General features: G+C 37.5%; 1 long non-coding RNA gene across 1 annotated transcript in view, besides 4 other annotated features; it reads right to left on the reverse strand.

Annotated features, from left to right (window-relative positions):
* Positions 12,445 to 12,614: an enhancer, noted in NCBI's record as "experimental_1547 CRE fragment used in MPRA reporter constructs". NCBI's record gives its function as "activates a minimal promoter by MPRAs in K562 erythroleukemia cells, with activity observed for the introgressed 1:198776932 or rs12137224 variant allele {active_cell/tissue: K562}" and the evidence as "EXISTENCE:reporter gene assay evidence [ECO:0000049][PMID:34662402]".
* Positions 12,445 to 13,677: a biological region, named in NCBI's record as "BRD4-independent group 4 enhancer GRCh37_chr1:198776880-198778079".
* Positions 12,478 to 13,677: an enhancer, noted in NCBI's record as "BRD4-independent group 4 enhancer chr1:198776880-198778079 (GRCh37/hg19 assembly coordinates)". NCBI's record gives its function as "activates an origin of replication core promoter dependent on BRD2, P300/CBP, MED14 and CDK7 cofactors, and independent of BRD4, by STARR-seq in HCT116 cells {active_cell/tissue: HCT116}" and the evidence as "EXISTENCE:reporter gene assay evidence [ECO:0000049][PMID:35650434]".
* Position 12,530: a transcriptional cis regulatory region, noted in NCBI's record as "Neanderthal adaptively introgressed variant 1:198776932 (GRCh37/hg19 assembly coordinates) or rs12137224 in the experimental_1547 CRE". NCBI's record gives its function as "modulates activity of the experimental_1547 enhancer by MPRAs in K562 erythroleukemia cells {active_cell/tissue: K562}" and the evidence as "EXISTENCE:reporter gene assay evidence [ECO:0000049][PMID:34662402]".
* MIR181A1HG (MIR181A1 host gene) overlaps positions 12,730 to 15,465 on the reverse strand; it is a 129,427-nt gene continuing 126,691 nt past the window's right edge. The window contains exon 3 of the long non-coding RNA NR_040073.1: positions 12,730 to 12,970. This is a non-coding gene — a long non-coding RNA (MIR181A1 host gene). The remainder of the gene's footprint in view (positions 12,971 to 15,465) is intronic.

The following is a 15,465-nucleotide window of genomic DNA, read 5'->3' on the forward strand; positions in this document are numbered from 1 at the left end:
AAAGCAAGGATGTACATATTCAGTTCAGGAAAAAAAAAATCATTACATCTTGTTCTTTCCTCATTAGCATTCATAAGCCGTGTGTAATTCACATGGATTTCACATCTCTGCTCATGTCATTACTATTATCCTCAGCCTCAAAATCAGTATTTATTCAGTCTGTATGAATTTAGAGCAGTTTTTTAAAATTTCCACAACCTTTTTGCATTTATTGGTTTTGTTTTGACATGTACAATATTTGGGTCTGGGATTAATAATTAACTGTTGCTCCGAAGCTATAAGTAGCTGCAGTCATTAATAATACCACTTTCACCAACAAATGCTGATGCAGTAGGACACCACACCAGGTACATTATCAAGGAATGTGCTCAGAATAGCATCTGAGCAGGGTCTAGAGTTTGCAAGAACCTATTTTCAACCTGGTCAATGAACCTACCTTATTTTTAGCTTTAGTTAATCTACATAAATTTCCTGGCAATTTCTAGTGAGATTCTGGCCCCCTAAAACATGTTATCTGGGAAAAGAAATGCATAAGAATATGATTTGTATTTTAAAACCATGATAAAAAGCACAAACATTTGGTTTTCTTGAAATTTTAAATGGACTTAATTTAAATATAGTCCTAAGTTACAGCACCTTGACCACAACTAATGTGCTATGGTATTAGTTCATTTTCATGCTCGTATAAAGAAATACCTTAGACTAGGCAATTTATAAGGGAAAGCAGTTTAATTAACTCACAGTTCCACATGGCTGGGGAGGCCTCGGGAAACTTACAATCGTGGCAGAAATCATAGAGGAAGCAAGCATTTTCTTCACAAGGCAGCAGGTAAGAGAGAGAGCACAGGGGAAACTGCTACTTTTACACCTTCAGTTCTCATGAGAACTCCCTCACTATCATGAGAATAGCATAGGGGAAAACACCCCCATGAACCAGTCACCTCCCACCAGGTCCCTTCCTTAACATGTGAAAATTACAATCTGAGATGAGATCTGGGTGGGGACACAGAGACAAACCATATCATTCTGCCCCAGCTCCTTCCAAATCTCATGTCCTTTACACATTTCAAAAACAATCATGCCTTTCCAACAGTCTTTTAAAGTCTTAACTCATTCCAGCTTAAACCCAAAAGTCCAAGTTCAAAGTCTCATCTGAGACAAGGCAAGACTCTTCCACCTATGTTCCAGTAAAATCAAAAGCAAGTTAGTTACTTCCAAGGTACAATGGGGGTACAGACATTGGGTAACTGTTTCCATTCCAAATGGGAGAAAATGGGCAAAACAAAGTCTGGAACCCACCTGGGCAGTCATTAAATCTTAAAGCTGTAAATCTCCTTTGACTCCATGTCGCTCATCCAGGCCATGCTGATGGAAGGGGTGGTCGCCCACAGCCTTGGGCAGCTCTGCCCCTCTGTCTCTGCAGGGTACAGCTCCTGTGGCTGCTTTCACAGGCTAGCATTGAGTGCCTGTGGCTTTTCCAGTCACATGGTCCAAGCTGTTGGTGGATCTACCACTCCGGGGTATGGAGGATGGTAGCCCTCTTCCATCCCACAGCTCCATTAGACAGTGCCCCAGTGGGGGCTCTGTGTGTGGGTTCCAACCCCACATTTCCCTTCCACACTGCCCTAGCAGAAGTTCTCCATGAGGGCTCTGCTCATGCAGCAGACTTCTGCCTGGACATCCAGGCATTTCCATACATCCTCTGAAATCTAGGCAGAGGTTCCCCAAATTCAACTCTTGTATTCTGAACACCTGCAGGCCCAGCACCATGTGGAAGCTGCCAAGGCTTGGGCTTGCACTCTCTGATCCAATGGCCTGACCTGTAGCTTGGCCTCTTTTAGCCATGACTGGAGCTGGAGTGGCTGGGATGCTTGGTGCCATGTCCTAGGGCTGCACAGAGAAGCAGGGCTCTGGACCCAGCCCATTTTTCCTCTTAGGGCTCTGGGCTTGTGATTGCAGGGGCTGTCATGAAGATCTCTGACAAGCCCTGGAGACATTTTAACCATTGTCTTCACTCCTTGTTACTTGTGCAAATTTCTTCAGCCAACTTGAATTTTTCCAAGAAAATGAGTTTTTCTTCTTTTCTACCATATGGTCAGGCTGCAAATTTTCCAAACCTTTACACTCTGCTTCCCTTTCAAACATAAGTTCCAATTCCAAACCATCTCTTTTTGAATGCATATGACTGATTGTCTTCAGAAAAAGCCAAGTCACCTCTTGAATACTTTGCAGCTTAGAAATTTATTCTGCCAAATACCCTAACTTATGTCTCTGAAGTTCAAAATTCCACAGATCTCTAGGGCAGGGGCAAAATGCCGCCAGTCTCTTTGCTAAAGCATGGCAAGAGCGACCTTTGCTCCAGTTCCCAAGAAGTTGCACATCTCCATCTGAGACCACTTCAGCCTGAATTTCATTGTCTATATCACTATCAGCATTTTGGCCAAAACCATTCAACAAGTCTCTAAGATGATTCAAAGCCTCACAAATCTTCCTGTCTTCTTCTGAGCCCTCCAAACTGTTGCAGCCCCTACCTGTTACCCATTTCTAAAGTCGATGCCACGTTTTCAGGTTATCATTATAGCATTTCCCCACTCCTTGTACCAATTCTCTGTATTAGTCTGTTTTCACAGTACTATAAAGAAATACCTGAGACTGGGTAATTTATAAGGGAAAGAGGTTTAATTACCTCACAGTTCCACTGGCTTGGGAGGCTTCAGGAACCTTACAATCCTGACAGAAGGCAAAGGGGAAGCAAGCACCTTCTTCACAAGGCAGCAGGAGAGAGAGAGAGCACAGAGGAAACTGCTACTTTTACACCATCAGATCTCATGAGAACCCCCCTCACTATCACGAGAACAGCATGGGGGAAAACACCCCCATGATCCAATCACCTCCTACCAGGTCCATCCCTCAACACGTGGTGATTACAATTTGAGATACAATTTGGACACAGAGCTACCATATCAGCTATCTCATTGTTCCTGTTCAAAGGCTCCTTTGATTTCAGTCAAGGAAGATTGCAAAATACCTTATCTATGTACTATATATGATAACACTTCAATTACCAACAAAGAAATCTTAAAAATTCACTCCTACTACAAACAACTTTATTTACATGTTGCTGTCATTTGAATGTTTGCCCCCTCCAAAATTCAGTTTGAAATTTAGTTGCCATTGTGAAAGTATCAACAGTGGGGCTTTTAAGAAGTGATTAGTCCATGGGGGCTCCACCCTCATGGGCGGGATTGATGCCATTACAAAAAGTGGCCTTGTCTTGCCTGCTCTCTCATCTTCTCTTTGCCCTTCCATGGTTCTGTGGTGTGAGCAAGAGTATTCCTTCCCTCTGGAGGATGCAGTGCTCAAAGCACATTCTTGAAAGCAGAGACCAGGCCCCTTACAAGACACCAAACCTGCTTATGCCTTGATCTTGGACTCCCCAGCTTCTAGAGTTGTGTGAAATAAATTTCTGTTTTTGATAAATTACCCAGTCTCAGGTATTCTAACAGTACAATACAAACTAAGACATATGTTAATAGGTTTACTTCAATGCTTTTCAAAAGTTGTGATTACTATTAATACTAGTTTAATTCAGAGTTTCTCAACTTCTACAATATTGACATTTTGGGTCAGATAATTCTTTGTTGTAGGGGATTTTCCTGTTCTCAGCAGATGTTTAGCAACCTCCCTGGTCTCTAGCCACTAGATGTCAGGTACACTCCCAAGCTGTGACAATCAGAAATGCCTCTAGGCATTGCCAAATGTCTCCTGGGAGCAGAATCGTTCCCTGGTTGAGAATCATCTGTCTAATATGTAAATTTCTGTTTTTGGTGCTCAGTGTTGGTATCATTCCTTCATGTATAGCACCAATATTGTCAGGGTGCTTCAGGACCACTGGTTTCCAAGGGACACATGGATTTCAAAAGTGAAAGATATTACTTTAATTTTAGTACTTATATCACTAATCCCAAAAAGCAATTGTCTCTGAGTCTCTTCTTAGATAGATAGTTTCAGAAATAGTCACTGATTAGTTTCAGATTAGCAGACTTAAGTCTCAGAGTTTTTTATTTTGGCTGTTGTTACCTTTTTTTTTCTTTTCTTTTTTTTTTTTTTAAGTTTAGGGCTGAATGCTAATACAATAGCTTCCAGAAGTTAGAATTTCTGGTGATTTATTATGTGTATATATTAGAAACCTTATCATCTTTTAATATCAGTATACAGTACAAAATTATAAACATTTGATAAATTTAGGGAACTGTTACAATAAAGTAGACATACTTTAATTTCTTCTAATAACATATTGAAATTCATTTGATTTCTATGCAGTTTTAGCTTATTATTCTCCTATGAAAATATGTTACCATACTTTACAGCATTATAAGGAGACTCCTATTCTATTTCATACCATTGCAATTAAGTAGATAATTAATAAACTTTTCCAATTTTTCTCATTTCATTCCATGTTATGGCAAAATGCACTTGATATGTTTGCCAGAACGAAACTCATACACAAAGAGCTTTTTGCTTTTTTGAAGTTCAACATCAAATGCGTGTAAGCCTAGAATAGGAAACAGCTCTTTTGAAAATTTAAATTCAAGGAGCTGCTTTGCTGGAAGCCAGTGTATGCTGGACAGGGCCTGAGAAGTCTGGATTTTATTACTTAACATAAAATGAATCTCAGTTTTTCCATCTGTAAAGTGGTAAAAATATCTTTTGAAAATGTTAAGGGAGAGTAATGTGATCCTTGTGACGTGTGAACTATGCTTTAAATTCTTTTAAGAAAATCTCTACATTTGTGTTCCTTTTATGTTTGTACATATTGAAAGAATATATCAAATAACTCTATAAACTGTTGAACATGTCTAATAAATACCCTTTGATGACTAAAAGTATTTGAATCAATTCAAAATATCAACATGTTTATGTTACTATAAAGCTGGTATAGCATTAAAACATTGGTTTATATTTCTCATCTTATAATTTCAGAGTGAAAGGAAAAGGCTATTTTTTACAATCTGAAACAATGATAGTAAAATAAGGCATGAGTTATAGACATTATGAACAATGCCTGAACTGCTCACTTATGATTGTTTTTCATTTCTCAATTGAACACAGCTACAGAGTTTTCCAGTTGCCATTATAATGGCTGTATTCATTCTAGCTTGGGAATAGTGGTTTCAGATTAATTATATTCAAATTGAAATACAGAGATGTGGCTCAGAAAAATTGCTTTGGGTTTTGGTGGGCAGATAGTGATTAAATGAATGAGAAAGAAGGCAAATACCAAGGAGATGTTTTATGTATGCTCAACAACATGAAAATACTTACCATTGTACCCTAATGTATATAATGGGAGCTTAGTGAATACTTGTTAAATTATTTACTGAATGAATAAAACTTACGAATTGGTATGCAAAATGACAAGAACTATAGAAATATAAGTAAGTGATGGGTTATGTTAAGTTAGGACCCTAAACTTTGGTTTTGATCTTGGTTCTGGGATTCAGCCCTTATGCCGGAGAGCGGTATTTACTTTTAAGGTGTAACATTTCTGAAGTTTCAACTGAATGCCCAAGGTGCTCAGCAAGGCTTGGTCCCTCCAGATGAGCCAGAAATCACCTTTCCTAGCACTGCACAATATCGAGTGTCTTCACTCAGCAGTCTGCCCCCAGGAGCCACACTATGCTAAACCTGTGGAGACCTGCCTTGTGTGTGTCAAATCATCTGTTGGCAGAGAACCTGAGAGGGAATCCCATGAAAACTTTTGGGGGCTCCCATTCTGGGTAGTTTCCCCCTTACTGATATCTTGACCCAGAAATCCCAGCTGTCTCATCATCCCAGACTCCAATCTCTGTTTCTTTTACCAGAATGGATCACTGTTCTCCATCTGGGGTCTACGCCCCTGCACTGCAGTCTGGAAAGTTCCTTCAAGCAGAAACCTGGGTTGGATATATGGTTCATTATATGTTTTTCTTTCTTTCAAGGATCATAGCCTTGCCTTTCTGTTGCCCAATTTTTTTTTAAGTGTTGTCTTGCATATTTTATTCCATTTTAAGATAGTATTCTGTGGCAAGGTGGGCAAGTCCAATAAAAGTTACTCCATTTCTGGAAGTGGAAGTTGAAACATATATGTTGTTGGATGTTATTTCTAACATTGTGAGTCACTACAACTCTCATTTACATAAAATCTCAGTGAGGATTTATCTAAAAAACGGATGTCCAATCTTTTGGCTTCCCTGGGCCACATTGGAAGAAAAATTGTCTTCGGCCACACATAAAATAACACTAATGATAGCTGATGAGCTAAAAAAAAAAATGCAAACAAGTCTCATGATGTTTTAAGAAAATTTAGGAATTTGTGTTGAGCAACATTCAAAGCCTTCCTCCACATTGATCCAAAGGATCTGTTCCCCTTTTTTGACTAAAACCTTATTCTCATTACCTTTAAAAATTACAGCAAATTTTATTTCACTACATCTTGGTAAGTGGCTGAGTGCTGTTTGATGTGCATATCTCTTCTCTGTTCCAGTTCATTCAAGTTGATCTTTCCTTGTTTATTTGAAATGATAACTGAGTATGGCCTTTGAGCATAAAAATAGCAAGGACAAGGCATAAAAATAAATGCAAATGAAAGAAAATAAAGCTCTCATGAGAGACTTGATTCTACAAAAACAAAATTACATAAACTCCACATAACATGTAAGAGAATACACAGTTGAAATAAAATAGTTCAAAGAGAATTCTGTTTTTTTCTTGAATCAACTTTCAGTCTGACATATTTATAATGCCTGCAAAAGGCAGCAGCGGGTATTAGAATGGTAAATTAAATTAAATGTTGTGTTCTAGTGCGGGTATTTTATTTATGTATTTGTTCATTCATTCATTCATTCACACATTCAGTTTAAAAATAAACTCACTTAGCATGGCAGGTGTAGACTAAGTATCAATTCAGAAATTGCAAGTTTATTTCAGATTTTAGGAAAGGAGATCCAACATTAAGACTAATAAAACTGAAATGACCTTCTGCAAAATGTAGCACTTTTTTTTTTGTAATGAGTTGTTTCTACCCAGGGATTAATATTTTTTGAATAAAAAATAAAGTTACCAGAGTGCCTTTATTAGTGCATATATCTTAGTCTGGTTCCCAGAATTGGAAATGGATTGGAGTTCATTTATCCATACTTGCATTTCAAGGAATCTTGATGAATTTAAGGATTTACCCTAGGGTCGTAGAACACAAAGCTTACTTGCTCACAGTGTAATAAATACATTGCCCTGAACCCAATAATTCAATGTAATTAGAAACATAAAATAACCAACTAAAGTAACTAGCCACAGAGAAAGACACTATAACACCTGTTTTCTGCTTACATGAAGAAGCATGATAATAGAATCTGAAACCTTCCAAGGAGTCAAAGCCATGGATGGTCAGATATTTTAGTGGTCATCAAGTCACGGTATCTCAGGCTCAGGAAAGATGCTTACATAGCTCATATTTTAACTAAATGCCACTTCTTTGCTAGATGGACCCCATGACATAAATCAATGTCCCCATTGACAGTGAATTTATTATCACCTAACAGTTAATTGTAGCTTTTGAAAATTTAGATTGAAAAGAGTGTTTTTAATAAGCTACACATTTTAGGAGGAAAAACATAGATTTGCAGTTCAGAAATTACTGAATTTAATGTAAATTTTACATCCCAGTTTTTTCCTCTGTCAAATGGACTTAATGATGTGTGCCTCTTAATACTTTCGCATTATTTTTCAAAATATTAAAAATGAGAAAGTTGTATTGCTTCTTCAAACATGAGATAAATACTATTGTTACCTTAAGTAAATAGTGAAGAAATTGAAACTTAAGAGAAGTTAGAAGAATTTCTCATTGTCCCATAGGTGGTGAGCAGTAGACCTGGTAGTCAAACCCAGGATCTCATCCCTTACTCTTCATTACTGCTTAAAAGGTGCTTGCGGTGTTCACAGGGGAAGTTCTCTACATGGACTAAGTCCTATTGTTATTTCTTCCTTGAAAGAAACCTGGCCTCTGTCCTACTAAGACACATTCACACATGGCTGATTTCAGCATTTTCTCTCTTAGGCTAAGGTTAACTAAAGGTTTATGCCCCAAATTGCTATAGAGCATAGTGGTTAGTTATTGTACTCTGGCAGCAAATACCCCAGTTCAAGTCCACGATCTACCGCTCATTGAGTGTGCCACCATTAGAAAGCTATTTAGCCTCCCTTTCTCATGGTTTAAAATGGGGACTGATGATAGTATTAAATACACAGGGTGGTTATATGAATTAAATCTGATAATTGGATTAACATCAAATTTAATTATTAAATCATTAAATGTGATTGGAACTGAATAGGTATTTTATGAATACTAGTCATTCTTATTATTACTTTTTATCACTAAGCACAAAACAGGGGAGGTTTTTGTGATGTACTGCCCAAATGGCAAAACAGAAAGAAGGCCTGTTTATCTGGTTTTGTTCTTTATAATGAATACATCTTTACGGCGCTCTGCCTCCCTGCAACATTATATAACCATGATATCAATTTGCTTAGTACCAAGAAGGTACAAGCCTCTAAGGATGCAGTTCACAAAAAGGTACATTTTTGTTCACAAATATCTCTGGGATAAAGCTCCTTTGATTGATATGTGTTATTTCTTGACTTCTCAGACTTAAATTAGCAGAGCTGAGAAACTTTCAGGTAAAACTATGATTAATATGTAAGAATCTCCAATATACACTCACTTTTTGGGGTTATTTGACAGATTCATGACTCTCTGGGCTAATCATATTCCTTGGAAAGTGCATTTTTTGACTGTTACTTAAGACATCAACAATGTCATACTATAAATGACTACTATGGTAATTTTAGCACATAGTAATTCATTAGCCACATTCGTTTTTAATATACTATATTCATCTTTTCATGTTCATCCAGAAGGACTCACAATTTCTGATTACAGTCTGGAACACATGTCTCTAATAACAGCTCTTGCTTTGCCAATTTTTAAAATATAAAGATTCAAGGGTTGTGGAGTAGGTTAGATATTCTACGATTAAACTGATGAGATCAGGCAAGCCTGACTGCTTTGTTTTCTAGAAGTCAAACAGACTGCAAATTTACAGGATATAAGTAGTTCAGTTAGACAGTGAGGCACCACTGGGGAGACAAATGCTTATTAAGTTCATGGATTAATGCAGAAATAGTGTGTGGAACACTGCTTCAAGAGCTGAGGCTTTAAGCAGCACAATTTGGACATCGCAGTTGTGGTTGTTGTGACAAGCTGTTGGCTGACACAAATGGAGCCAGTTCTAGGGCAGTTAATAAAAACTCTACCAATTAATTTTGGTTTTGTTTGCTTGTTGGTAGTTTGTTGTATATACATTTTTCTTAATGCTCTTGTTTTATCAATTCTTTCAGAGTGTTTAGGATCTGGATAATTTTTAAAAATTATTTAAGCAGGATTCTAACAATATTATGGCTAATGTTACCTTTTCCCCTAATTCTTAGATTACTGACATAAAACAACTTTCTTTTGTGTGTCTAAGTTAGCTTTAATAAACAGAGACACAGAAAAATTTATTTTTCTAGCAGACCTTTTTCTTCCTTTCTCCCTTCCTCCTGACTTCCTTTCACTTAGTAGTTTTTCTAGCATTTTTCTGCTAATTTTAAAAATTTTGATCTTGATTTTTAATCTCTATTCCCATGTCTTTCTGTATGTGAATTTTAAAGGAAAATAGATATAGACCCTTATATGAGTCTTAGTTTTGTCAAATGTTTGCTTACCAATGGCCCCTGATACCAAGATAAAGCACATTTCGATGGAAGAGAAATGGATCTGATAACTAAAGAGAGTTGGTTCTCTATGTTACTCTCATATGAGAGACTAGTGTTATAGGTTGAATTCCTCCAAAATTCACAGGTTAAAGTCCTAACTCCCAGGACTTCACATGTGACTATATTTGGAGAAAGGGGGCATTTTAAGAGATTATTAAGTTTAAAATGAGATCCTTATGGTGAACCTTAACCAATATGACTGGTGTCTTTATAAGAAGCATAGAGTAAAACACACATATTCAAAGGGAAGACCATGTGAATTCAGAGGAAGAAGATGGCTATCTACAGCCAAGGAGAGAGGCTTCCAGAAGAAATCAATCCTGCCAATACCTGGAGCTTAGAGTTATAGCCTTCAGAATTATGAAAAAATAAATTTCTGTTGTCCAAGCCCTCCAATCTGTGGTACTTTGTTATGGTAGCCCTACCAAATGAATACAATTGGTTTAATATATATCACTATTTCTTCATGAGACTCAGGGGTGCAAGTGTAAAATGTAAGTGCAAAATGACATTATTCTGTTTTTCATTCAGTCAGTAGTTACCAAGAAGCATCTTACCACACCGACCAAGACAGGAAACCAGAGATCCCTACCTTCATGGAGCTTACTGAAATGTTATGTGCAAAAATGTTTTGTAAGTAAAATTGTTAAATGCGTTTTTTGTATTATTGAAAGCATTTTTATTTTCAAAGTCAGAAATGGAAAGGGCTGCATTAGTAGGAAGGTTGAATTGGAAAACTAAATATTATTACATGTATTGATCTCCATAGTAATCATTAACATTTATTGAACACTATGTGCTAGGCACTTTTTGTTTGTTTGTTTGTTTGAGACAGAGCCTTGCTCTGTTACCAGGCTGGAGTGCAGTGGTAGGATCTCAGTTCATTGCAACCTCCACCTCCCGGGTTCAAGCTATTCTCCTGCCTCAGCCTGCCAAGTAGATGGGACTACAGGTGCCCACCTCCACACCCAGCTAATTTTTGTATTTTTAGTAGAGACGGCGTTTCACCATGTTGGCCAGGATGGTCTCGATGTCTTGACCTCGTGATCCCCCCACCTTGGCCTCCTAAAGTGCTGGGATTACAGACACGAGCCACCGTGGCCAGGCACTATTTTAAGAGTTTTGTTAGCAATAGCTTATTTTATTTTCATAACAACACAGATGAATTCTCATAGTTTGCTCATTTTACAGATAAGAGAATTAGAACCCAGGGAATTCATGTGACTGGTTTAAGATCACACAGCTAGAAATAACAGCTAGTTATAAATCAATATGCAGAATTTGAAAACAAAAGCCCAACATAATAAAGCTACCAAGGAACAAGGAATTGTTAGAAATAACAGTTGGGAATATTTGACTGAAGGAAGTGTTTGAGTCTTTCAGTGAGCCAGTCTATAACGTGGGACTCGTGGGCAGCATACTCTAAATACTGAAAAATGGCAAATGAAAAGAATATGAATAAAGAGGAAAAGGATGAGACATGTTTTGTCTGCTGATAATTTTAAAAATATATCTGCATAAAAAGCTGAGAAGTGAAGCAACAATGGAAAGATTGCAATATGTTCATCAATGGAAGATTTAGCACAATGGTACATGCCCCAAGAAAACCCTGTTATTGGGATATTTTTTATTTTATTTTATTTTTTGGTGATGGAGTTTCGCTCTTGTTGCCCAGGCTGGAGTACAATGGCATGATCTCGGTTCACTGCAACCTCCACCTCCCGGGTTCAAGTGATTCTCCTGCCATAGCCTCCTGAGTAGCTGGGATTACAGGCATGCGCCATCACACTCGGCTAATTGTGTATTTTTAGTAGAGATGGGGTTTCTCCGTGTTGGTCAGACTGGTCTCGAACTCCTGACCTCAGGTGATCTGAAAGCCTTGGACTCCCAAATTACTGGGATTACAGGCATGAGTCACCATGCCCAGGCCAGTCTTTTTTAATATCACGTGACAGAGAAGAAGGAGAAAAAGCATCTAATGGTGGTTTACCATTTTACCTTGTCTAGAGAACTGCTTTATAGAAATGGTTACTTTCTGGTCCTTACAAACTATTAACTGACAAATAAAAGAATATCATATTTTAACACAGATTAAGTGGAAGATTTATACTTAGTATCTATAAGTAAAATGATATTAAAGACTTCTACTAAGAATGATTTTTAGAGTACATCTGTGTGTTTCCTGCTTAAAAAACAAAACAACTATCACCAACAACATTAAAAGACAGTTATTGGTTGATTTTTAGTATGTAACAAAGCTGTCAGTCCATTTTCCTTTAGACCAATTTTTTTCCCCTCATTAAACCAAATAACTTGTTTATATCTTTAGAAAGCTATCAAGCTAAGGTGCCCTAAATTATTTTAATTTTTTAAGTAATTGTAGGTGATACCACTATTCAAGAAATTCATATCTTGCAAAATGAAAACAATGATATGAGAAGCAAGGTACACATTTTTCCATCTGCAGAAATGGTAACTTTCCTATGTGGATGATTTGTTATTGCTTTGTAGGAAGCCAAATTCACCCACATCTATCAAACAAATACAGTGGTTTATACAACTTTTAAAAGCTGTGAAAGCCTGAGTTTTAAAAATCAAACATATTTTTGAACAGAAATAATCCAACTAAGTGAAACAGGTAAGAGCACAATGAGAATGGAGTCATTGCATGTTGGGCGGAAGTCAGGAACAAGTTTGGGAGGTATTGTTGAACAGTTGAGGACAATCCAGTGAGTAGAATATGGTTGTTCCACTGCTTTGGCTGGCATACAATTTTTTCCAGAGTTCATAAGGTAGCTGTGTTAGAAAGACATTAAGTACTATTGTTGGGCCTCCATGTCCACAGGTTCCATGTTCATGGACTCAATCATGGATCAAAAATATTCAAAAACAAAAGCAATAAAATATAGCAATTTGACAGTAAAAGACCAGCCTGGACAATATGTCAAAACCATGTCTCTACAAAAAATACAAAAATTAGCTGGGAATGGTGGAGTGTGCCTGTAGTCCCAGGTACTTGGGAGGCCGAGGTGAGAGGATTGCTTGAGCCTGGAAGGTTGAGTCTGCTGTGAACTGTAGTCACTCTACTGCACTCCTAGCCTGGGTGGCAGAGCGAGACCTGTCTCAAAAAAGAGAAAAAAACAATACAATATAACAATTATTTACACAGCATTTACATTGTATTAAATATTATAAGTAATCTAGAGACGATTTAAAGTGTATGAAAGGATGTATGTGGGTTATATGCAATTGCTACGTCATTTTATATCAGAGACTTGTGTATCTGCAAATTTTTGTATCTGACAGGGTTCCTGGAACAAATTCTCCATGGATCATCAATAATGATGGTTTTGTAGACTACAATTTGACTTTGTTTAGCATGTCTATGGTCAGATGACCTTACTTACCTTGATGAGGCCACTACATTTTGTTCAGTTTTCATAAAAATGCTACTGTACTCAACTGCATTATTGATTCTACTTGTTTCTTGCTGTGGTTATAAAATGGTTGTGTTTCCTGCTTCCACTGATTTCAGGCTTGTCTGGGTGACTTGCTTCAGCTGATAAAATGAAAATGGGGGTGAAACATGCCTCTTCTCAGCAGCAGCTTAAGAGCACTCATGTGATTTTATTGTAGCCTTTGATTCAAGAATGGTATATCCTGGTGGAGGTTGCTCTGTAAGCCTGGGCCCAGAAGTGACTAAATATGAAGCAGAGGCAAGACCAAACCATACTGGATATGAAATGTGAATTTAAAACAAATTATTGTTTCATGATGCTGATAATTATTTGTTACTGCAGCACAATCTAGCTTAAGCTGATTGATGCAACAACCTAAATGAAGTTTCTTATTTGGCCAAAAAACAGTTCAAGTACTAAAATGAGTCACATCAGCTAAAGTCTGGCATCTCCTCTGTACTTCTCTTTCTCCCTTTTCACTTTTCCTCCCTATTTCTTTTTATCAATAGCTCTGTAGTGATAACCATTGTGTTAGTATGTTTATAGTCTTTGAGTATATCTAACAGAGTGAGTTCTTCATACAACCAAAAAAGTCATAAAATCATGATTAGAGATCATCCAATCCATGCTTTAAATTTCACACAGGTTGGAAACTGAAGCCTGAAGACACATATTGGCTTGTCTGGGTTCATGCAGCCAGTGAGTGACAAAGTGAACTATAATAGAAAGCTATTATCAAGGTTCCTGGTTCAGAGCAATTTCCATTAGAGACTTCAGTCTCTTCAAGGAATTTCAGGGTGCTGCAATGAGCTCTGACACAATATTTTTGTCTTTTAAACATTTGGAAAATGACTCATATATGTATAACAGACACAGTAGGAAAACAGGCATGAAGCATTTAGGGAACAAAATTATAACTTCTTAGTCTGTTTCCAAGAACCGAGAGGAGGCACAGGAAAGACAGGAAATCAAGCAATATTGGCTACCTACTCTTGCTGGGTTAAGCAGTAGAGTCTCATCAAAACAAACTTTGTGGATCCCATGAGCATATGAATCTCCTGAATCCAAGTTATTTCTCTACCACAAAAGGCAAAGCGGCAGTACAAACGCACAAGAAAGGGCCATCCACTGGCTTCACTTCACTTGGGAAAAGTAAGCTTCTTCCTCTGATTGTTAAAATACATGGATTGGCACCTTTTTGTTTTTTGTTTCCCAAACCTTCTCCACTCCCTCATTCCTCATAAAATGACATGGAGCTGCCTTTAAATTTTGTGCTTTATTCCAGAGAATCAAAATATGAAAATCACCATGACAGGTTTATTAAGAGTCCATGGTCATGACTCCCAAGCTATGTCAGTAAAGGGCATTGCTCCGGCTCATTCCTTGTCCTGTGGCCTTGCCTTTCGAGGTCCCATCTGAAGGTAAAAATAGAAATTAATGTATTTTGCAGAGGCTGCTCAGTCATCAACCTTCTGATTCTCTTCAAGGACCCTGGCTCCTGCTGTCTCCTTCTTCAGTCTATGACTTGTGAGGAAGTGTGCTCAAATTTTACAAGCAACAGACTGAGTTTTATTACTCAAATGAAGAATCCATTTTATTGAAGTCCAGTATAAGATGAGGTCAGGCAGGCAAAAATATTTCTAACTTAGCAAGAGCTTAAACTCAATAGACTTTAATATTTAGGAATGTTATGAAGTGTGTGCTTTCCCTCTGTAAAGTATTATTCCAGACATGCAATTTAACACACCCCAAACTGTTAATAACCCCACCTGCCTACAGTGATACACACACCCTTCTCATTCTGGTATTTTGGAATATCCACAGTATGGTATGTCTAACTTCTACATACCCCTACTTTTTCAGGCTACAACCAACATGTCATTCTCCATGCCTTCTACTCCCAAAACCTCGAGATTTGCAGTTTCTGTCTTTCAAGGAGTTAATAAATTAATTTCTTTTTCTTTATACTCCTTGCGTGACACACATATCACTTTAATTTGTCCACTAGATTTGGGAAATAATCTTCTAACCATACCAAACTTGCCCCCTTCCAATATATCCCCAATCCATAGATGCATCTTTTGAAAATGTCACTCCCTTCATGCCAGCCTTCTGGATGAACCATCAATCTTCCCCTAGACATTAGGGTAGAATC

Source organism: Homo sapiens, chromosome 1 (genome assembly GCF_000001405.40).
Source record: "Homo sapiens chromosome 1, GRCh38.p14 Primary Assembly".
NCBI classification, from domain to species: Eukaryota; Metazoa; Chordata; class Mammalia; order Primates; family Hominidae; genus Homo; species Homo sapiens.